General features: G+C 40.9%; 1 protein-coding gene across 2 annotated transcripts in view; it reads left to right on the forward strand.

Moving 5' to 3' along the window:
- Window positions 1–24550, forward strand: part of ANXA3 (annexin A3) — a 58678-nt gene that overhangs the window by 12251 nt on the left and 21877 nt on the right. For both annotated transcript variants that reach the window (NM_005139.3, XM_047450154.1), the window contains exons 3-6: window positions 9160–9247; window positions 15007–15101; window positions 18157–18270; window positions 22240–22330. In NM_005139.3, coding sequence (NP_005130.1) covers window positions 9160–9247; window positions 15007–15101; window positions 18157–18270; window positions 22240–22330 — 388 coding nt within the window. The remainder of the gene's footprint in view (window positions 1–9159; window positions 9248–15006; window positions 15102–18156; window positions 18271–22239; window positions 22331–24550) is intronic.

The raw sequence follows: 24550 nt of genomic DNA on the forward strand, positions 1-24550 counted from the left end.
TAATCTACAAATACTGGTGCTAGATGACTCAAAAGAAGATTAATACAAATTATTTATAATCTGCTTTAAACAAATACATGAAAATTATTCTGAGAAAGATGTTCATGTTAATAAAGTCTCTGGGGAGGCCAAGTGTTTCAAACTCAATCCAGATAGTTGGGTTTGCTACCTTTGTCAGAGAAACCCTGAGCGCTTGGAGAGACAGGAAGGAAGATGTAACAGAATCACCAGACACAGTCATGCATTTCATGTCTCCAGTGTACTAGAAAACACTCAGCTTCTGAAGTATCTCCCAAATCTCCCAGAATACAATAGGAACTTTGATTTCTAGACTATTGATACTTGAAGGAAGCAACTCATCGGGCAGCCAACCATCTAGTGTAGAGCTTGGAGAAAGTCCACACTGTGAGATGTCATTGTCTTGCTTTCATATTCTTACTTAGCAAACTAATTCACAGTTATGTATTAAGCCCCTATCTGGGGACTGAGCACTGGGCTCCCAGCTGGATAAATAGGAATGAGTGAAACAAATGTCTCTGCCTTCTGGAATTTTATTTTAGAGGGGGTGGAGAGACAGATATAAACAGCGAGAGGTATTACTCAATGCTGAGTGCCCTAACAATGGAGAGGTGGCTGAGATGCAGAATAACAGTAGAAGACCTACTCAGATCAAGTGCCAAAGAAGATCTGTTAGAGAAGATGGTCTTTAAGGAGAGGACTGAAGGTAAAAATCATTCCAGTTAGAGAGAACAACACAAACCAAGGCATTAAGGTGGGAAAGAGTTCATTGTATACCAGCTTGACTTTCAAAGAACTGAAGTGTGGGAACTCTACCTCTCATCTGGAGAGAGTGGCTCCAGATAAGAGTCATGAAGGTGGTTGGGCCAAACCATGCAGGGCCCTATGGACCAGTGTAAGGAGTTTGGACTCTATTCAGTGTGAAATAGGGGAGTGACAAGATCTGACTTAGATTTTTTTTTTTTTTTTTTTTGAGATGGAGTCTCGCTCTGTTGCACAGACCAGAGTGCAGTAGCACGATCTCAGCTCACTACAACCTCTGCCTCCTGGGTTCAAGTGATTCTCCTGCCCCAGCCTCCTGAGTAGCTGGGATTACAGGCACCTGCCACCACGCCTGGTTAAATTTTGTATTTTTAGTAGAGGCAGAGTTTCATCATATTGGCCAGGCTGGTCTCGAACTCCTGACCTCAGGTGATCCATCCCAAAGCACAGAGATTACAGGTGTGAGTCACCCCACCTGGCCCGACTTAGATCTTTAACAGATCCCTTGGCTGCTATGTGGGAAATGGCTGGAGATGGGAAGTAGGAAGTAGAGAGGAACATGACTCAGATGTTCAAGTACGGGAGAGCGATGATTGTGAGTTGGACAAGAGCAGGAGCAAAGAACCTGGGGAGGAGCGCCCATGCGATTATCTTCTTAAAATAATCTCAGCAGGCCTTGCTGATAGATGGAATTCAGAGGGAAATGCAGGTGAAGGAATCAAAGGGGACTCCCAGGTTTCTGGTGGCTGATGATTGCTCCTTTTACAGGGATGGGGAAGGTTGAGGAAACTGAGCAAATTGGCGATGAGCACAGAAACTGGAGCCAGATTGCCTAGGTTCAAATCCTGGCTGTGCCACAAACTACCTATGTGACCTTGGCGAGTGTCTTAACCGCTCTGGACCCTCTTTTTTCTCCTCTATAAAATCACGGTATTAATTGTACCTACCTCATAGGGTGGTTTTGAGGATTAAATGATCAGGTATATGTAAAATACAAGTAAGTACTATGTAAGTGTCAGAAGGGGGAAGAAATAGCTTGGGAGGAAACAATGAGTTGATATAGGAGATAATCAAAACAAATACATGGAGGAGACATTGAATATACAAGACCAGTGCTCAGAACTGAAGTCTGGGCTAGAGCTATAATGTGGGATTTTTCTGTATACAGAAGAGGGAGTGGAAGAAATAACCCACAGCAGGATTAGAGGGAAAGAAAAGAGAGAGCCACTTTCCACTTTAGAATTGCGTATTTTATAGAGGTCAGACAAAGGTGAGTGCATCCTGGAGAGGCGGGAAGAAACCTAGGAGGTGAGGCACAGGAGCCAATGGAAGGCAGGCTAGCTGTGAGTGACACATGCTCCAAGGGGTCAAGGCTTCTTATTATAACTCATGTGTCATGGAAAATACAACATCAATGGCTTGTTTGTCCCTGTCTTCCCTGATTTCTGAATCTCATTCATCTTTCTACTCCATCCCACACCCTCCTCTGTTCTCACATTCCAGTCCTCTTGCTCTGACACTGCCCTGATGATGAAATCACTCTATTTAAAAAAGAAAAGCTGAACTATTCACAGTAGCAAAAATATGGAATAAAACTAAGGTTTATCAACAGAGGATTGAATTAAGAAAATGAATGTAGAATACTATACTATACTATACTATAGAATACTACTCAGCCACTCAGCCACAAAAAAAAAAAAAATGAAATCATGTCTTTTGCAGGAACATGAATGGAACTGGAGGCCATTATCCTGAGTGAAATAACTCAGAAGCAGAAAGTCAAATACCACTTATAAGTGGGAGCTAAACAATGGGTACACATTGATATAGAGAACGGAATAATAGAGATTGAACACTTCAAAAGGTGGGAGGGTGGGAGGGGCTAAGGGCTGAAAATTACCTATTGAGCACAGGGCTCACTAGTCGGGTGACGGGTACACTAATAAAAGCCAAGACTTCACCACCATGCACCATCTGCATGTAAGAAATCTGCACTTGTACCCCCTAAATATTTTTAAGAAATTTAAAAAAGAAAAGCTGAAAAGTATGAATATTTTTTCTTTGAGTGAGCCCAAGAACAAATATAAACTTTTTCTTCAGAACTTTGGACACATTATGAACAAAGCCATGTTGTCAGCCTGGCATATCTCAGGGATCCCAGCGTCTGCCAGTCTTGCCTGCTGTGGACGTTCAGCACCGCCTACTCCTTACTGCCCTGTGGGCTGCAGAGCATGCCTGCGGTGGTGGTGGGAGGCTTCTGTTTGTGCATCATCTTCCATAGGCACAGTGATCATTGCCAGCCAGTGGCACTTCTAGGTGAGGAGGCTCTTAGGCGAGGCCCCCAGGATTTGCCCTGTAGGAACCGCTTGGTTACCAGTATTTTTCTCTGGCCTTTACCTGCTGTATTAGTTTCCTAGGGCTGCTGTAATAAAGTACCACAAGCTGCTGGTTTCGAATGACATGAATATATTATCTCACAGTTCTGGAGGCCAGAAGTCTAAAATCAAGGTGTGGTCAGGGCCGTCCTCCCTCTGAAAGCTGTAGGGGAGAACTTCTTAGCCTCTTCCTGGTTTCTAGTGGTTTACTGGTATAGGGGAGTAACAGTAATCCCCATAGGTTCTTAGTTGGAAAGCACCTTTGTTACAAAAGACAGATTGACAAGAGAAAACCAGACAGAAGTTTATTAACATGTGTATTTTGAGTATACATGGAGACACCAAGAGAATGAGTAGTTTTCAGAGGTGGCTTTGAATTTCAGCTTATATAGCATCTTCAACAAAGAACAGTAAATTTTTTGTAACAAGACAATAGAAAAGGACCTTTGAATCTCTGTGGGCAGCAACTTGCAGGTGGGGCAGTGAAGAAAGGCAAATAACTTGCAGATAAAGGTTAGTTAGTACAGCTTGCTAATATAAATTCTTCTAATACCATTGTCAGGCTGATAAGGGTCTTAAACTATCTTCAGTCTTTAACCTTTGTTCTCCCTGGTAGTCAGGAGGGCAGAATACCTTTTGTCTTCATAAATCTTTGTCCTGCTTTTAGGCAAATGGAGGAAAGATATCTCTTGAGTATCTGTTTCTTCTTGTCTTCAACAATCCTTCATGTTTTGAAGAGGCACATTCTGGTCTCATACTGGCAGCTCGCAGCTGCGTAACTCCAGTCTCTGCCTTCACCATCACATCACATTCTTTCTGTATGTCTCTGCCTTTACATGGCTGTCTTATAAGGATACCAGTGGTATTGGATTGGGGGCCTGCCACTGTGACCTCATCTTAATTAATTACATCTGCAATAACCTGGTCTCCAAGTAAGGCCACATTCTGTGGTACTGTGGGTTAGGACTTTAAGGTATTTTTTTGGGGAGACACAATTCAACCCATAACACCTGCCTCACTTGACTGCATTTTATTTCAGGGCTGTTTACAGTAAACTTTCTTTGGTTTTGAAAAATGCTTTTTACTGGAAAAATTGAACAGGAAGTCTTAACAATTTCCAAGTTTGATTGCTTTATTTTTTATAATCTACTCCATTTTTCCTTGTATCATAAAGCTTCATGACCCAACATAGCATCTTGACATTGAACAGAGAGCCATCGTTTCTCCCCGGCTCTTTGAGAGCTCCTTGTCCTGGAGTTTTATCTGGAGCTTTGATTTGATGCCTCAATTTTTGGATGTGGCCTTTATAGGGCTTTCTGAAGTGATGAGTGATCTGGCTTCACCGCATCTTCAAAATGTCCCTGCAGCAACTGCTATTCTTGCTCTGTAGCATTTGGCTTTAAATATGTTTCATATCAACAGGGTTGGCACCTTCTGTTTTTCTCTTCCACTCATCCTTCTGAATGTAAATGTTTAACTTCTTGCAAACACAGTACACTTTGCATAAAGAAATAGGTACAACTGGCTTTTGTGAGTCAAAAACAGACTGGCCTCTCCCAGGGGCAATAGCAAACAGCTCCCTAGGCCCAGCTTGGCCAAGCAGTGGCTTCAAGGTGTCATGTGCTAAGGCTGACCTCCGAAGGATGATTTTAGAAGATCAAGGGAGATTATATTGTCTTGAAAAAGATGGTTTAAATGAGATGAAGGCTAGTCTAGTTTAGGAGCAAAGACTGTTGGAACAGACCACTTACTGGCTGTGGGAACTTAGACAAGTTACTTAATCATCAGTTTCATCATCTGTGAAAAGGATTTATTATATCTACCTTATAAGTTTATTGCAAGGATTGAATAAGCAAATGCAGGAAACGCGCTTAGCACAGTACTTGGCACATAGTGATTAGCAGCAATTGTTCTTAGTATAAAGAGCTCCTGTTACTTTCCCCCTTTATCTAGACATTCTTTGCTTTAATTTGTTTTCCAACTGGCTTCAGCAGCATTTTTCTTTTGGAGGCATCTGAAGGTCAAGTTTCAGAAAAGGAAAGCAACTAAATGTGTTTAAATGTGTGGATGGAAATCTGATCAAAGGCAATTTTTTTTTTTTTAAATAGACTTTGCCAAGTATTCAGGTGATGTTCTACGCTAGCACTGACTATGTTAGGACACTAGGGTTACTGGAAATAAACTCAGCCAAGTATTGATTAGTAATATAAATGTCAAGGAATTAAGCTTGCAGTGGAGCAGGCAATGCAAGCAGTCCTGTTTGGCTGTAAAAATGCCGACATTCCTGAAGCGATGAGCTCATCATTAAATTCTTCATCTTCCACACCCATAAGAGAATTCATGGCTTGTTTGCTCATTTTTGCTTTGGTTTTCTAGACAGCTAAGAAGGAAATAAAGCAGTGCTTCTTAAACTTTATTGTGTACTAGAATCACCTGGAAGGTTTGTTAAATCGCAGATTCTGCATCCTGGCCCTGCAGTTGTTGGTTCAGGAACACTGGGGTTGGGCCTGAGAATTTGCATTTCTGTCACATTCCCGGGTGATGCTGATGCAGCTGCTTCAGGAACCACACTTTGAGAACCACTAAGATGAACTCCCTCGAGGCATTGTGATGTGACATAGAGCAGGGGGCATTTTAGTCATAAGGTGATGGGTTTGAGTCCTGGGGCTGTCCTTATTAGCAGAGCTCTTTTAAGCAAATAATCTCTGTGAGACTGGGTTTCTTCCATTTTCAATTAGAAATAATAAAATTCACCTCATGAAGGCTCTTGTAAGAGTTAAATGTTTGTAAATCACTTTGTTCATGTATTAGTTTTAAAAGATTTCATTAATCTTTGATTGTAAGATTATTTTGTAAGTCATGTAATATTTCCGAATGATTTGGGCAACCAAGTCTATCAAATGAATAATGCCATTCGTTTAAATAATGGAAGCAGTTTTAAATATTTCACTAAAATTCCACTTCAGAATTCCCAAGCCCTTTTTCAAGTTGGGGTGTGTGTGTGCGTACTTTCTTCCCCCCTTGTAATTAAACAAGTTATTCCTCCCCCATTTAATTCTTGCTAAGTACTAAATTGCATAATAAATTGGGAATTTCCTCCTTCTCTAATTCTGTGCATTGGCATTTTAGCATATTTTGATGTGTAGGTGGTAAAGGCCAGTGAAAAGTTCACAGCTGGAGTGCAAACCCTGAGTTTTCATGATGCATGAACAACTGGGATCTGACCACAATTTTGTCTTTTTATATTTAGAATCAGCCACGTCAATATCTGCATGGCACAGAATCACCTGGGAGCTTCTTACACATGTAGAATTTAGCACCCCATCTCTAAAACATATGATTCAGTATATAGAAGGTGTGTCCTGGTCATATACATTTAAAGTATCACTCCAGGTGGTACAGAGACTGCACTTCATGAAACACCAGGAATGGTCTGGAATAGTCTAGTTTGCTTTTAAATTCAGCCTCTGCCTGCAACTAGCTGTGTAGACTTGATCAAATTCTCTGGTCTTCTTAAATCTTGGTGCTGTTTATGTGAAATTGCTCACTCTCATTTATTGGGGCTGTTATGCAGATTATAATTAACATATATAAAGTGCTTAGCATGTAAAGTGTGCTGGGCATGAAGCATTCAAACAATCTAACATTGGGGTAGTTCTTTTACAATGCCAGACACTGGAAGGTGGACAGGTAAGATCAACACAAAAGTTCCTAGATGGATAGAAGTGAAATGAAGCCAGTTGGCTCTGTGAATCCATAAAATATTTATCAAGCCTTGGAGAAAGAGAATTCATCAAAAATTATATTAAAGTGACTAATTTATTTTCTTTCTTTCTTTCTTTCTTTTTTTTTGTGAGACACGGTCTCACTCTGTCACCTAGACTACAGTGCAGTGACACAATCACAGCTCACTGCAGCCTTGACCTTCTGCGCTCAAGTGGTCCTCCCACCTCAGCCTCCCAAGTAGCTGGGACCACACCTGCACACCACCACACCTGGTAATTTTTTAATATTTTGTAGAGACAGGGTCTTACTGTGTTGCCCAGGCTGGCCCTGAACTCCTGGGCTCAAATGATCCTCTGTCTTTGGCCCCCGAAAGACCTGGGAGTACAAGAGTGAGCCACCATGTCCAGACTAAAGTGACTGGTTTGTTACAGGTATCTTCAGGTCAGGAACATTCACAACTAGTTTCTAACTTGCAATTATTTTCTAGGTTCTAAAGTTCTTATTTTAGATGCTATAAGATTAAACAGTGTTTGAGTGTATTGAAATCAATTATTCAGTCTAATCTAATGAATCAGCAGACTATCATATTTTACTGTGCCAGAACACTAATTTTCCATTCACTTTAATGTGACAGATAATGTCCTTTCATGAAAATATTAAACCCTTCAAGAGAGCCAAAATGAACCCATATTAATACAAGACAACAGAGCCAATACTATTCAGTAACAGGATAGAAAAATGCTGTTTAAAAGGAAATATTATTACTGTAAAGACAGATTTTTATTCAAGAAGTTAGGAACTACCACATAAATCTACGTTTACTTTGATTTTTCTCAACATCTTTGTGGCTGTCCTTCTTTAGTCTCATAAGCAATTTTAAAATATTTTTTCTATATTATGGTCTTTCCCAGCTTACTGACATGCTTCTAATTTACATGCTTAAAATTAGTAGTGTGGCATTTTTTACTTCCTTGCAATTCCTGAAGATCTATGATGTCAGTAGAGCTTTTAGAAGGTCTTCTAATTGCACATTCATTAAACAAAGCTTAAGAACAGACAGTCCTAAGGGGGTTTTCATTTATGGATCATTTAGTCTGGGATTCCCCAAGGACAATGGTCAACATTAATTAAAACATCTTGAAGTCTGTAAACCACAGTTACTTCTGTGCGAGATGCCATGATGAGCTTTGAATTATCACTTGAAAAATAAGAAGATTTAGGAAATTTCAGCTTTCTTGTTGCTCTCCTGCAAATGCTACTTTAAAACAAATTTTCTTCAGTGTCACCAAGATTAACACAACTTACTGCTCTAGAGAACCAATGTTTTATATTTGTAATTTGTTACACAAAAGAAAAAGAGGACTCCTGAGATATGGGGTAGATATCATATTCCCTGTGTCTGGGGGGTAGACCATCACTTCAACTGTAACTGCCAGATGGGTTCTTCCTGCTCACTGTGCAGACAAAATCAGTCCACTGAGACCATCACATTGCAGTAAAGAAAAAGTTTAATTGATGCCAGGCTAGCCACACCATGTGGGAGACAGAGTTATTACTCAAATCAATTTCCCTGAAGGCTCAAAAGTTAGGGGTTTTTCAAGGTTAAAATGGAGGGCAGGGGGCTAGGGAAGGGGCATGCTGATTGGTTGGAGATGTAATTATAGGGGTATAGAAAACAGTCCTTGTAGGCTGAGTCTGCTTCTAAGTGGGGGCCACCAAAGGAGTTGCTGGTCTGGGTGGGGCTGTCCAGTAGTCAGAAATGCAAAAGCCTAAAAGACTTCTCAAAAGGCCAACTGTAGGTTCTATAATAGTGATGCTATCTGCAAGAGTAATTGGGGAGGTTGCAAATATTGTGACCTCCAGAATAATGGCAGGTAATTATGTAACTATGCCTGCATCTTAGTAAAATTCAGGCCCCTCTCATCCTCCTAACTTGGTAGACTTCCATTAATTTTACAAGGGTAGTTTAGCTTTTGGGAAGAGCTAGTATCATTTAAACTATAAACTAAATTCCTCCTGAAGTTAGTTTGCCCCACACCCAGGAATGAGCAAAGACAGCCAGCCTGTGAGGCTAGAAGCAAGATGGAGTCAACCATGTCAGATTTCTCTTACTGTCATAATTTTCCAAAGGCAATTTCAGAGCCACTCCTGAAGTGGTAGGAAGGTGTGCGAATTATGGGTTTGTCATATGCCTCTCATATGCATGAAGGAATATGCATATGTAATACAAGAAAGATGTCATTTTGAACCAATGGGACTTTCAAGTATTTCCTTCTAGGTTGGACACCGAGGAACAGTAAGAGATTATCCAGACTTTAGCCCATCAGTGGATGCTGAAGCTATTCAGAAAGCAATCAGAGGAATTGGTGAGTGATATTTTACAATTCCTTTCTTAATGTTGAAGCAAATCAGGCAAGTTACAATCTAAAAGTTCAGTTTGCTCAGATTGGCTTACTCAATTTAATAAATTGTCAGGAATTTTCTAAAATTGTGAAATAACGAGGAAATATATAGAGAACCCAGTTTTATTAAATCTTAACATTTATCATATTTACTTAATATTAAAAATTACCACTGATACTAGTGGTCTAGGGGAGATCCCCAAATGCCGGGGGAATCTCAACCCTGGCTGGTATCCAGACTCTTGACACCATCTAGAGAAGAAATTCAAGGATGGGTCAAAAAATACTGAAAACACAGAGATTTATTGCAAAGTGAAAAATACACACTCAGGAAAGGGGAGTGTGAGTGTACTCAAGAGACAGTCGTGCACAAGGGGGTTTGGGGCTGTTGCCTTTATGGGTTTCTTTAACCAAGGGGTGGAATAGTCATGAAGATTCTGGGAAAAAGGTGATTTCTTGAAACTGTAGTGCCACCCCTTTTTACACCAAATGTCGGTGTTTCCGGAACTGCCATGGCACTGGTGGGTGTGTGATTGAGTATGTTAATTAGCATATAATGAGATCCTAGGAGAATCCTAGGTCAAATCCAGCGCCATGTTGGGTCCAGTGGGTCTTAGCCAGCTTGATCCACACTATGGGTTTTCAGGGTCATATCAGCCCCTAGTTTCTGCAGCTATTTCAACAGTTTCCTTTTGCTAGTCATGTGAAACTGCTGCCTGGAATTTTCTGTTCTCCTGTGACCATCCTGTATTAGTCCTATCTAACCACCACCACCACTGCCACCAACAACAGTAATAATTATCATAATAAATCATTACAAATATGGCCCCCTTGGTTGGGCATGGTGGCTCCTGCCTGTGATCCCAGCACTTTGGGAGGGGGAGGCAGGAGGATCACTAGAGCCCAGGAGTTCAACACCAGCCTGGCAATATAAGGAGGGCCCTTCTCTACAAAAAAACTCAAAAAATTAGCTGGGCTTAGTGGCTTGGGCTTGTGATCCCAGCTACTTGGGAGGCTGAGGTAGGGGGATACTTTGAGCCAGGGAGGTTGAGGCTGCCCTGAGCTGTGATTGTGCCACTGCACTCCAGCCTCGATGACAGAGTGAGAGTCTATTTCAAAAACAAAACAACAACAACAAAAAAACCCAACACAATCCCGTCAGTTCTTCCTGGATTTCACTCTTGCCCCTTTCCCTAGAGATAAACACCATCCCAAATTAGAGTTCATTCCCATGAAACTTTTAATACCATAACTACATATACATGTACATATTGTTATGCATGGTCTCAAACAGCATAAAATGAAATCATACTGTATACATTCTTCTGCAATATGTTTTTGTCTCTTAACATTATGTTTTTGAGATTTATCCATGTTGATATGGTGAGCTCTAGTGCATTAATTTTAACTGCATGGTAGTCTATTGCATCACTATATCAGAAGATGGGAATATTGATGGAACATTTAAATTGCCTACAATTCTTTTATATTGCAATATAAAAATGCTGCAATGAATATTCCTCTCATGTCTCATTGTGCATATTTGCTAGCATTTCTCTAGAATATGACAAGAACTGGAATTTCCACATTGATGGGGATGCTTCTCTTCAAATCAACTAGAAATTTTGCCATACTGCTCTCTGAAATGAATGCAGAAATTAGCATTCCTTTCAGCAATGTACAAGACTTCCTTTTGCTCCATATTCTCACCAACACTTGCTATAGTAAGACTATTCCATTTTTCTAATTAAGTGTGTCTAAACAGTATCTTATACTGCATGTGTGTTTGTTTCCTGTCTCTACTCCAATGACTGATGCAGTTAAGCATCCTCACTTGTGCATCTGCTTCCACTTTCATATGTCAATAAAATATAAAATATATTTTATCTATTTTTTTCAGTTGGTTTGTCTTCTTTATGATTGGCAAGAGTTTTTTTATAATTCCTCAATACAGACTTTTTAAAAAATATTACAAGCCATGAAAATATTTCCTATAAGTTTATGGTTTTTTTTTTAACATTGGTGACATGGTTTGGCCCTGTGTCCCCACCCAAATCTCATCTTGTAGCTTCCATAATTCCCACGTGTTGTGGGAGGGACCTGGTGGGAGATGACTGAATCATGGGGACAGGTCTTTCCCGTGCTGTTCTCATGATAGTGAATAAGTCTCACAAGATCTGATGGCTTTATAAGGTGGAGTTTCCCTGCACAAGCTCTCTCCTTGCCTGCCACCATCCACGTAAGATGTGACTTCTCCTCCTTCCCTTCCACCATGATTGTGAGGCTTCCCCAGCCACATGGAACTGTGAGTTCTCCATTAAAGAGTTCCTTCATAAATTGCCCAGGCTAGGGTATGTCTTTATCAACAACGTGAAATGGATTAATACAATTGGTTACAGTAATTTTTATTGCATAGAAGTTTTAAATTTTAGTGAAATCAAGTTTACCAATATTTTTGTCCAGGATTTATGCTTATTGAATCTTTTCTATAACGAAGTCATAAAGTTAGATATTCTCCTACTTTTTTTTTCAAAGTTTTGAAATTTTATTTTTCGTATTATGATCTTAAATCTACATGGAATTAGTGTTCATGGATGGTATTTAAAGGTGTCTCATTTTATTCTATTTCATGTGGACATTTAATTGTCCCAGAACAATGTATTGAAGAGCTCTTCCTTTTCACACTGATTTGTACGTAATATCACCTATGTTTTATGCTTCCCTATTTTTCTCTTCTCTGTTATGCTTCATTTATCTATTTGGCCCTCCCAACACCACATTGTCACAATTATTAGGATTTTATAATGACACTAAATATCTACCAGGCAAGGTCTTTCTTGGCTCTTTGCCCTCCTCTATGAATTTTAAAATCAGCTTGTCAAATTCAATAAATATACTATATTAGAACTTTATATCAATATAATATTATGTTTTTTCTGCCTGTTTGAGGTTTATTTTTTCCATTTTTCAATGTAAGTTATTTCTTCATTTATCTCTTGATTTCCTTATTTTTTTTTTAAGAGAGAAGGGCTTGCTCTGTCACCTAGGCTCGAATGCAGTGATATGATCACAGCCCACTGCAGCCTCAAACTCCTGGATCCTATGGCCTCAGCCTCTGGTGTTGCTAGGACTACAGATGCTCATCACAATGTGTACCTAATTTTTAAATTTTCTGTAGTGACAGGGTCTTGCTATGTTGCCCACGCTAGTCTTGGACTCCTGGGCTCAAGTAATCCTTCTGCCTTGTCCTCCCAAAGTCCTGGGATTATAGATGTGAGTCACTGCACCCAGCCTGATTGCCCTATTTATATCTAGTGTTGAATAGACTGTTTCATGAGGTTAATAGTCTTTAAATTCTGTCACCTCTTTTTAAACATTATGTTTCTTCATGAATTTGCACTTTGGCTTACAGGCCTTCTTTAAGAAGGAGGTTATTGTTTATGAGCACCACTTCTGATAGGTTCTGAGTTCAGAATGAGGTATCATAACGGTGTTTGCATTAGGGATGGGTCAGACACAGTCTCTGAACCTGAGGCATCTTGGCTTAGTTTTTGATCTTGGGCATGTTTAAAAATAAGAGATGAGAAACTGCCAGGCATACAAACTACACATAACTGCAGGTAGTTTGGTATAGTTGTAGTCTAGGTGCATAGGTTATAGAGATGCAGAGAGGGGGTAGAAAATGAGAACAAAGACATAAGGCAGGAGAGATCATAATGAGCTGATACATGAGCTAAGGGGCTTAAACTTCATCCTGAAGATTACAAAGAGCCATTAGAATTTTAGCCAAGGGGGTGACATGATCAGATTGTATTTTTAAACATTTACTTAGGCAGTAGTTTACAGGAATAATTATATGGGAGTCACATTAGGAGGTGATTTAGGTTATCCAGGTAAAATATGATAAGGACACAGGAGCAGAGGGCATGCAGAGGAGACGACAAATTTAAGAGATGCAGATAATTGCTATAATATAGAGAATAAGATAAAGAAAGGAATCTGAGATGATTCCCAGGGTTTTTGCCTGGATGACTATATCCATAGTTGTGGATGAGGGAACATAAAAAGAAAGACAAGTCAGAGAGGAAATACAATAAATTCCACCCAGAATGTGCTGAGTTTCAGATACTTGTGCAGTTGTGGTGGCCGGTAGTGTACTGACACAGATGCTGGGTACAATACACAGCACCAAATTGGTGCTCAGACCCACAGAGCACAAATACACTTTAATCTGATTCGGTATTTATTTAACTATGTGTAAGAATACAAAACCAAAGACACAGAAAGGCAGCATCTTTCATTGGGAGGCCCAGCAGCTAACCAAGTACACAGAAGCTTTTGCTTCATCATTGATGTAAGCTGTGTACCACTGCCACGGAAGTGTGTAGATGAGGTCTGTGAGGGTCACCTTGACACAAAGAAGTTGAGCATTGAGTTCCAGGTGCTCTTTTATACCTCTCTAGTCATGCATGCTCTAGGCCTGCAAGCCAATTCACAGCTTCCCAAACCAGGTATCATCGTGGGTTGGGAAATTAATTAGACACAACTTTCCACGTTTTTCTTACTACTGTAGTCACCAAGATAAGAATGACCTTGAGGTCATTCTTAGGCAGGCCAGCATCAGCTCTGGCCTGATGTTACCTTTTGCTTACAAACAATTCATTTTGTATATGGGTTTGAAATTTATGAGAGAGGCCGGGTACGGTGGCTTACCCCTGAAATCCCGGCACTTTGGAAGGCTGAGGCGGGTGGATCACCTGAGGTCAGGAGTTCGAGACCAGCCTGATCAACATGGTGAAACCCCATCTCTACTAAATTAAAAAAAAAATTAGCTGGGCATGATTGCACATGCCTGTAATCCCAGCTACTTGGGAGACTGAGGCAGGAGAATCGCTTGAACCCGGGAGGTGGTGGTTGCAGTGAGCCGAGATCGTGCCATTGCACTGCAGCCTGGGCAACGAGAGAGAGAGAAAGGGCGAAGGGGAGAGAGAGAGCGAGAGAGAGAGAGAGAGAGAGAGAGAGAGAGAAAGGGAGGGAGGGAGGGAGGGAAGGAGGGAGAGAGGGAGGAAAGAAGGAAGGGAGGGAGGGAGGGAGAGAGAGATGTGGAAGAAATGCATGAGAGAGATGTGGACCAAAGATAGAAATATATGTTTTGGGGTCAGAGATTTGGGTTCAACTTCTTGCTGGACCACTCAGCAGTTGTGTGACTTTGGCAAGGAAGATAAGTTCGTGTCTTCATCTTTAGTACAGCGGGCCCCTGTGAATATTAACTATGGCAATGAATAAAAGGGTGTTTCATGCAGGGCAGATTTTCAATAAGTGTTGGTTCCTGTTTTCCAGAGGAAGAAATATTTTGATATCAAGTATGGGAGAGAGATAAAAGGCAATAAGACAGTAACCAAACCTCATAAAGGTAAAAAAGTCAAGTTCAAAAGTAGTAGGTTGTTTTGTCTGATGTACAGAAAGGAGTATTTAGACAATGATTGTTTCCTTCCCCCCAAAACTATCCAAATAAAGTTAACTTTTTTTTTCCAAAACTCAGGCAAACAAAATAAATAAATAAATAAATAAATAAATAAATAAATAAAATTCCAACCAGATAAGATGCTAGAAATTAAAATGCCTTACTCTCTGCATTTGTCTCAGGCCATTGATCATTTTGCTTTTGTTCAAGACAAATGTTGAGCATAAATATTGAGTAAAATAACTTTTGTTTCATTTAGGAACTGATGAGAAAATGCTCATCAGCATTCTGACTGAGAGGTCAAATGCACAGCGGCAGCTGATTGTTAAGGAATATCAAGCAGCATATGGAAAGGTAAGGTCACATTAACATGACAGGCAGTAAAGAGATCATTAATGTACCATGGTCGCTCCCACATGGTTATGCCCACAGTCTTCTGTTTCAGGCTGAGTGTAACAGAAGATGCCCTGTGCATCCAGTCAGGAGCCTGGAATCTGAGTCGTGGTTTTGCCTTGAACTAGCTGACTGGCTTTGGGCATGTTACTTGGTCTTTCTGGGCCTCAGTTTCTTCACCTGTAGGATAAGGTTTGCCTTAGCCCAGTGGGTTCTAAACCAGAAGTGATTTTGCTCCCCAGGGGACATTTGGGATGAATGGAGACATTCTGATGATCACAAACAGGATGGTGGGGAGTACTTCTAGCATGTAGTAGGCATAGGTCAGGGATGCTACAAGCATCTGAGAATGCGCAAGGCAGCCCTCCACAACAAAGAATTACTAAGGAAACTATCTGACTAATTCTGTCTTAGGTAACCTTTTATTTCTCTTTTAATTTTAAAATATTTATGTAGTTATAGGTTTAATTCATTCAGCAAAGAAAATTTAGTAATTACCAGAAACTATATAAGAACAAGTAACTTTGGGAGGCTGAGGCGGGTGGATCACCTGAGATCAGGAGTTTGAGACCAGCCTGGCCAACATGGTGTAACCCCATTTCTACTAAAAATACTGAAATTAGCCTGGTGTGATGGCACATGCCTGTAATCTCAGCTACTCGGGAGGCTGAGGGCTGAGGCAGGAGAATTGCTTGAACCCGGGAGGCGGAGTCTTCAGTGAGCCGAGATTGATCCAGCCTGGAAACAGAGCAAGACTCCGTCTCAAAAAACAAAATAAAAAGGAAAAAGTAAAAGTAAGACTTGGTCTTTGCTATACAGTTTATTTGTCCAATGTCTATTTCTGAGTACTAATCTGTGTTAGGAGATATCCTAGACATTGGAAATAGACTGGTATAAAAAGCACATCCTGCCTTCTTTCATGGAGCTAACATTCTATTAGAATATAATAAACAAGTAAATAAAAATAATTCAGATATGATAAGTGATATGAAAGAATTAAAATGGTTGATATGATAGACAGTGACTGGTGACTGGCTCCTGCAGATAGAGTGATGAAGGAATGTCAGTGAGGGGTTGTTACCTCACTCCCCACTAAGCCTAAACAATACTAGGGGTTCTGCCCTGCTTGATCAGGAGATAGTATTTAAGGTACAGAAAATATAAAAGCCCTGAAGCAAAAAGAAACTGGGAATATGTGAGAAATAAAGAATTCCAATATGGCAGGAATGTAGAAAGTGAAGGGGGCAGAAGAAAGAGATGAGGCTGGAGACAGGTTGAGAACATGCTAAGCCTTGGGTCTTGGTAGGGTTTAGATTTTATTCTAAGGGCTACAGGGAACCACTGGAGGTTTGTAAGCAGAGGAATAATATACTGCAGTTTTTATTTTTAAAGGATTATTTTGGCTGCTGTAGATAATGAACTGTGGGGGGAAAAGGTACAAACAGACCCGGCCAACTGTTGAGAGGGTCTAGTGACCATCCACAGGCACCTCAGGAATTACCTCCTGGGAGTGTTCTCCAGGCCCCCAGGCTCCATTAAGACACCCTTCTCTGAGCTCCCTTTATCAGATAACATATTATATTGAAATTTTATCTTTGAATATTTCTGTTTTTCCCATGAGGGCAGAATGCCTTAGGATAAGGACTTTGTCTAACTTACCTTTAAAGGACTAGCACAGAGCAGGTGCCCAGAAAACATTTGTTGAATTGAGTGAATTGCCTAGCTTCAGGGCAAGACAACACTTTCACATACAGAGAAGGTGAATGATCTATTGGCCTTTTGGTATTTCCAAAATATGGAAGAAAGATGGAGGTGGAGGGGAACAACCATTTCTCACAGTGGAATAGGATGAGAGCTGTGAAATAAGATTCAGCTGCAGTGGCTTGGATTGAGGACAGATGGTAGTGAAATTTACCATTTAGAGAGGAAAAAAACACTGTGGCAATTAAAGCAGAGTTGATAACACTGAATGCCACCCCATTTGTTTCAGCAGGAACATGCCACTGCTGCACCCCCCAGGAGTGTGGTTGTGTCAATCTGTGCCCACAGCGTTTCAGCAGGCTCAGAGGCTACCAGCCTCTATTTCAGAGCTGAAAATAATCAGGAGCAGGAACAAACATTATTCAGTATTATGCCATTGAATATTGAAAATAGAAACCCTGTTACCCCCCTTTAAGCAGGGGAGATGGACTGTACTTAGGTGTGAAAACAGTGCTCAAAACAATATCAATAGGTAATGTCTGTAAGAGGCTAAATTCTAGTGTTCCATCGCCCTGTAGGATAACTATAGTTAACAATAATATAGTTTCAAATAGCTAGAAGGAGGATATTGAATATTCCTAAAACAAAAAAATGTTACATGTTTGAGATGATGGGTATGCAATTACCCTGATCTGATTACCATACATTATATGTATTGAAACATCACTATGTACCTTATGAATAAGTACAATTATTATTTGTCAGAAAAAATAAGTCTAATGTATTGCCACACTTAGGGTTTTCTTTTCTTTACTTGTTGCCAGAAAATTGCTTCTGATGCCACCTAGTTCCACATTCTCACCAGAGACAAATGACCAGCCACTGTCCTCCCTTCCCCTTCCTCTTGGAGCTCTTTGGGAGTTACTGAGAGGCAAGACACCGAGGAAGAGAGCACCTCCCACTGAAGCTGGGCGTGAATTTATAAGGGTTCCTCTTCCTCTTCCCTTACCCCAATCTAAGCATTGAAAGCATGGCGGATCTAGGAAATGCATTTGAATACAGTTCCTAACTGTGGCACTCATGGAATCCTCCCATTTGGCTCTCCTTCAAAAAACCTCTACAAAACAGAACAATTTGGGAGTAATTAGAAAATGCAGATTAATATTCATAGAAATATTTTCAACACTTCTGTTTATTCCCTGTGGATGGACATGTTTTGTCTGATTTTGATACATATGTTCATCTTTCACTAGGTGACTTTAGAGAAAGAGAAAAAAAGTATTTCACATTTTTCCCCTTGGTTTTTTGATTTTAGGAGCTGAAAGATGACTTGAAGGGTGATCTCTCTGGCCACTTTGAGCATCTCATGGTGGCCCTAGTGACTCCACCAGCAGTCTTTGATGCAAAGCAGCTAAAGAAATCCATGAAGGTATGAGCCCCCCACAAGCCATTTCTGCCCAGGGTTTGACCAAGTCATCAAAAATAGTGACTTTCTTGCAGTGCACACTTGTGATGGGTGGACTTGGATGCCCTTTTGGTCTGGACTCTCCCAGTGGTAGAATGACTCTGAAATAGGCAACAGCTATAGAACCTTAAGCCCAAATGTTCCTGGGCTGGAAGAATTTTGTCATATCCTTTGTTTGACATGAAGAGTCAAGTTCTCTAATTTGTCATCGTTGAAAGTAAATAGCACTATGATTAACCCCAACACTCAAGCTAAAAACCTAGCATTATCCTTGAGCCCTTGTTTTCTCTTACCCTTCCAAGCTCCCAAATCTATCAGCAAGTTCCTTAGTTTTACTTCAAAATCCATTATAAATATGTGCACTTCTCTCAAAATCCATTGCTACTGTTCTAGTCTGACCACCATCATCTCTTGACTGGTCCATATCAATAGGCTTCTAACTGGTCCCTTTGCCTCCATTTTTGCCCATCTCAAATTCATTCTACACAGAATAGCCAAAATTATTTTTATTAATTTATTTTAAAAATCAGATTATGCTACTTACCTGCATAAATTTCCAATGGCTTTGTACGCTTAAAATCCAAGCTTCTTATCATGACTTTCATCACCCAACATAGTGCAGCTCCTGTCTAACTCTGTGGCTTTTTAAAATTCTATTTATATCAGTCAGGGTTCCCTCAGAGAAGCAGAACCAATAGGCAGGACATAGACTTTAAAAGATTTATTGTAAGGCCAGGTGCTGTGGCTCTTGCCTGTAATCCCAATACTTTGGGAGGCCAAGGTAGGTAGATTGCTTGAGCTCAGGAGTTTGAAATCAGCCTGGGCAACTTGGAGAAACCCTGTCTCTACAAAAAATAAAAAAAAAATTAGCTGTGCATAGTAGTGCATTCCTGTAGTCCCAGCTACTTGGGAGGCTGTGGTGGGAGGATCACCTGAGCCCAGAAGGTCAAGGCTGCAGTGAGCTGTGATTGTGCCACTGCACTTCAGTCTGGGTGACAGTGAGACCCTGTCTCAAAACAACAACAACAAAAATTTATTGGAAAGAATTGGAGGCCATGGTGGGAGGATTGCTTGGGCTCAGGAGTTCAAAACCAGCCTCAAACTGAGCAACATAGTGAGAACTTGTCTCTACAAAAAATTTTTAAAAATTAGCCAGGCATGGTGGCTCATGCCTGTAGTCCCAGCTATTTGGGAGGCTGAGGTGGGAGAATCACTTAAGCCCAGCAGGTCTAGGCTACAATGAGCCATGACCGTGCCACTGCACTCCAGCCTGGGATGCTGTCTCAGAAAAAAAAAAAAAAAGAAGAAGAAGAAGAAGAAAGAAGAATTGGTTACATGATTATGGGACTGGTTAGGCAAGTTCAAAATCTGTAGAGCAGGCTGTCAGGAAAGGCAGGCTGGAACTCTTGGGCACAAGCTGAAGCTGCTGTCCACAGAAAGAATCTTCTAAACAGAAGCCTTGCCTCTGGTCTTAAGGCGTTTCAACTGATTGGATCAGGTCTGCCGAGAAAGGTAATCTCCCTTACTTAAAGTGAATCGATAATAAACTGAAATTATATCTACAAAATACCTTCACAGCAACACCTAGATTAGTGTTTGATTGAATAAGTGGCATTATAGCCTGGCCAAGTTGGCACATAAAACTGACCGTCATACCCCCTCCTGCTCACCCATTAATGATGTAGCTACACTGGCCTTTTCTCTGCTCCTTGAACATCATAAGCTTATTCTTGTTTTGAGATCTTTATACATGATGTTTCTTCCATCTGGAATGCTTTTCCTCCAGACATTTTCCATTAATTCACTCAAATATATTTTCTTAACTGCACTTATTACTGTCTAAAAGTATCTTGTCTATTTATTTGTTTTTGAGACAAGGTCTCGCTTCATTGCCCAGGCTCTAGTAAAGTGGTGCAATTATGGCTCACTGCAGCCTCAACCTCCCTGGCAAGCCTCCAACTTCAGCCTCCTGAGCAGCTGGGACTGCAGGCACACACCACCACACCTGGCTAATTAAAATTTTTTTTTTTTGTAGAGACAGGGTCTTGCTATGTCACCCAGACTGGTCTCAAACTCCTGAGTCAAGCAATCCTCCTGCCTCGGCCTCTCAAAGTACTGGAATTACAGGTGTAAGCCACTGCACCTGGCCTTTTCTATTTTTAAAATCCATTTGTTTATTATCTTTTTTCATCTAACTAAAAGGCAAACCTCCACCATGGCAGGGAACCTCATTGGTCTTGGCCTATATCTTCTGTTCCTAGAGCAACTCCTGAAATGAAGTGGGTGCTCAATGTATTAATTAATAGGAAGGAGGAAAAAGAAGGGAGCCTAGATCTGAGGCATAAGCCATATTCTGCCTTGCCATCAGGGAATGGAGTTATCTTCTTTTCTGTGGAGGACATATGGGCATCTGAGAAGCAGATGGCAAGATGGAATTTGATGTACAGGAGATTTATTTTGAGAAACACCTGTGAAGGATAAAGAGGCGAAGAGCAGGGTAGGTGGGGTGAACCTTCAGACTGCAGTGGTGGCCTGACCCCTATGAGAGGAGAGAGGAGAGGAAGTAGGCTGAGATTAGGAAGAGCCTCAGTGCATAGTGAAGCTCCGAGAAAACCTTGGTAGGCTGTTGGGGAGCCCCTGAGCAAAGACTGCCCTTTGGAGGAGTTCTGTGTTGGGCGCAAGTCCAGTACCCCTGTTGTTTACAGTCATTGACTGACAGCCACCTGGAGAGGGCATGACCTCAGTGTGAACTTTGGTAGACCCAAAGGTGTGGCAGTTGGAGGCTGTTAGCTAACTGCGTTCTTTGCAGCTGATTCTCTTGAAGTGAAATCTGAGCATTGTTTCTCTATGGCTACCCAAAGGGGAGGGTTTAGCAGGTGTAATTGTAAGGATTAGATTCACCAATAAGTATTAGAACAGTTTCTCTTTTACATAAAAGAAATCCAGGCTGTGGTGGCACCACCATTATCAGAGACTCAGTCTCCTTCTATCTTGAGGCTCTGCCGTCTTTAACTCATGGTTTTCACTTCCTGGCTAAAGAAGGCTCATGACTCAGCCATTATGTCTTCATTCCAGGCAACTCAAAAGAGTAAAGGACAAAGAAGGGTTCACTCCCTCACTCTAAGGATACTCCCTGAGCATACATATGGTACTTCTGCATATATCCCATTGGTCAGAGTTTAGTTTCTGGACATATTTCACTGTAAAAGAAGCTGAGAAACATAGCCTTTATATGGGTAGCAATGTACCAAGTTAAAAGTTGGGGGTTCCATTACTAAGCAAGAAAGACAAAAGAGATACTGTGGTAAACTAGGAATCTCTGCTACAGAGAGACAGAATTCAGTCTCTGTTCATATGCTGCACTGGCCTTATTCAATCAAGTCGTAGTGTATATGACTTTTCTTGGAGTCACAGTGTGATTCAGTGACCTTGATATAAACAGGACTGAGAGGTAATTAGTCCCCATGCCAGCCAGGCCCATGATGCACATTACTGAGGATTTGAAAGGCTCCCTGTATGAAGAGAATGATACATGCTGATAGACCCAGTACAGTGATGCAAGGATGAAATCATTCAAAAGTATTATAGAGCCTTTTCTAAACATAGTGGAATGTTTGAATGTTGGTAGGGTTAATCCTGTTAGACTGTCACTTCTAATCTTGAATGACACAGGCTTTTTCTTTTATACTATTTCTTTCCAGAATTATTCAATTGATTTTCACACTAGAGTGAAAAATTTGCTGTCACTTTATTCCAGATGATTTATGTTATTACTAAAATATATGGAAAAATAGAAAACGAGAGCAATAGAGAACCTTGTATTGATTTACTTAAAAGTGTCCTTTCATCTATATAAACAAGATAATAAGACCAAAAGGCATGAGATTAAGTTATTTAAGTGTTCTAAAAATTAGATTTTCTTTTCCTTTTTAGGGCGCGGGAACAAACGAAGATGCCTTGATTGAAATCTTAACTACCAGGACAAGCAGGCAAATGAAGGATATCTCTCAAGCCTATTATACAGGTGTCTTATTTTCTGCTTACCTTCACCACTGTTCACACATATTTGAGCCAATGTTGCTTTTCCTAGAATCCTCTCAATCTCTTCATGAGGCATTTTGAGAAGACAAGACTTACAGAAACGAGAATACATTCTAAAATCAGCTAAAGACTATGAGTTTCCAGGAAAAATTGGAATATGATCTGAGCTAGAGACTGCTACATAACAATAGCATTAATGCTTTACATTTATAATATTACAGCTGCAGTGGATTTTGCTCTCGGCAATCTCTCATTAATTGAATTAACCATTGTCATCAATGTAAGAGACTCAAATCGTATTTTATTTTTAGGCGTTAGAAATCACTCAGATTAGATCCACGATTTTGGGTGTGGGAAATTAGATTAATTTAGAGGATGTGTTGAGCATAAGGATTCAATAGAAGTAGCTAAAGACCTAATAGTCTGCTGGCTGTGTAAAATTAGAAAGACTCTGAAATGTAATTCTGACTGTAACTACCCAGGGTTAGTGTGACTTCACAGGTTAAGGTCACAGTCCCCACAAGACTACCTTCACCTCAGACACCAGCCCACAAGCTCAGGTGTTTTCAGGCTACACGTGCTTTTAACCAGCTGGCTACAAATTCAGGGTTCTCACTACCCTCTCAGGTTGAATAGCACACTAGAATGACACAGAACTCAAGAAAGTGCTGTGTTCACAAATGCGATATTATCATAAAGGAAACAAATCAGGGCCAATCAAATGTGGAGACTGCATATGGAGATATTTGGAAGGGTCCAGTGGAAGCTTCCACTCTCCTGACCATTGATATATCATTACCAACCAGCAAGCTCACTTGATTATTGGTAGCCTTAGTTTTTATTGGGGTTTCGTTATATAAGCATGATTGGTTGAACCATTGTTCATGTGATTGAACCAGTCCACCTACACTCCCCAGAGGTCAGGCTGATATTGTGGCTCAAAGCCTCAACCTTTTAATCATATGGTTGATCTTTCTGATGTGACCAGCCTTTATTCTGGGTCATATTGTTAGCATAACTGAGCTGTAGTCCAAGAGACCAACCATGAATAACAAGGACACACCTATGACTTGGGAAATCCAAAGGATTTAGAGTTTACCTCCCAGGAATCAGGAATAAGACCAGCCCAATTCTCTACTATTCAATGGCCCCATAGAACCCTCTCCAAGTACTTTAAGGGAGCCACAGTTTCTCTGTTTGTGTCTCACAGAGGTCAGTTGTGTCATAGCAGCTTTTGCAGTGGGAGAGGTCCAAAGAAGGAGTACATATTGGTCCTCATGTAGGTGTTAAAGAGGATGCTTTGGGAGATTCTTGTTAGAAGGTAAATACCTCAATGTCAGGTGACTGTTTTGTTATTGATGTACCAATTGGGTTCTAATCAGAAAAACAGAAACAGCACTAGGTATTTTGACAGATAGAATGTAATATAAAGAACTGCTTAAAGGGCCGGGTGCGGTGACTCACGCCTGTAATCACAGCACTTGGGGAGGCTGAGGTCAGCGGATCACAAGGTCAGGAGTTCGAGACCAGCCTGGCCAATATGGTGAAATCCCATCTCTACTAAAAAATACAAAAAAAGTTAGATGGTCATGGTGGCGTGCACCTGTAGTCCCAGCTACTCAGGAGGCTGAGGCAGGAGAATTGCTTGAACCCAGGAGGCAGAGGTTACAGTGAGCCGAGATGGTGCCACTGCACTCCAGCCTGGGCAACAGAATGAGATTCCATCTCAAAAGAATTGCTTAAGCTGGGCACAGTGGCTCATGCCTGTAATCCTGGCATTTTGGGAGGCTGAGGTGGGCAGATTGCGTGAGCCAAGGAGTTTAAGACCAGCCCAGGCAACATGACAAAACCCCGTCTCTATAAAAAATACCAAAAATTGGCCAGGTGTGGTGGTGCACGCCTACAGTCCCAGCTCCTCAGGAGGCTCAAGTGGGAGGATCACTTGAGTCTAAGAGATTGAGGCCACAGTAAGCCTTGATCATGCCACTGCACTCCAGCCTGCGTGACAGAGTGAGACCTTGTCTTGGAAAAAAAAGAAGAATTGCTAAACACCTTTCAGAGGACTGAAAAAGCAAAAAGGGAACAAAAGGATTCATGCAGGTTATAACCCCCCAGACCTGAGACAACAAAGGAAAGAGGTTGAGGCTATCAGAAACTGGAAGCTAGAATGAGGGACATACCTGGCTGATGTCGGGACCTCAGG

Source organism: Homo sapiens, chromosome 4 (genome assembly GCF_000001405.40).
Source record: "Homo sapiens chromosome 4, GRCh38.p14 Primary Assembly".
Lineage (NCBI taxonomy): Eukaryota > Metazoa > Chordata > Mammalia > Primates > Hominidae > Homo > Homo sapiens.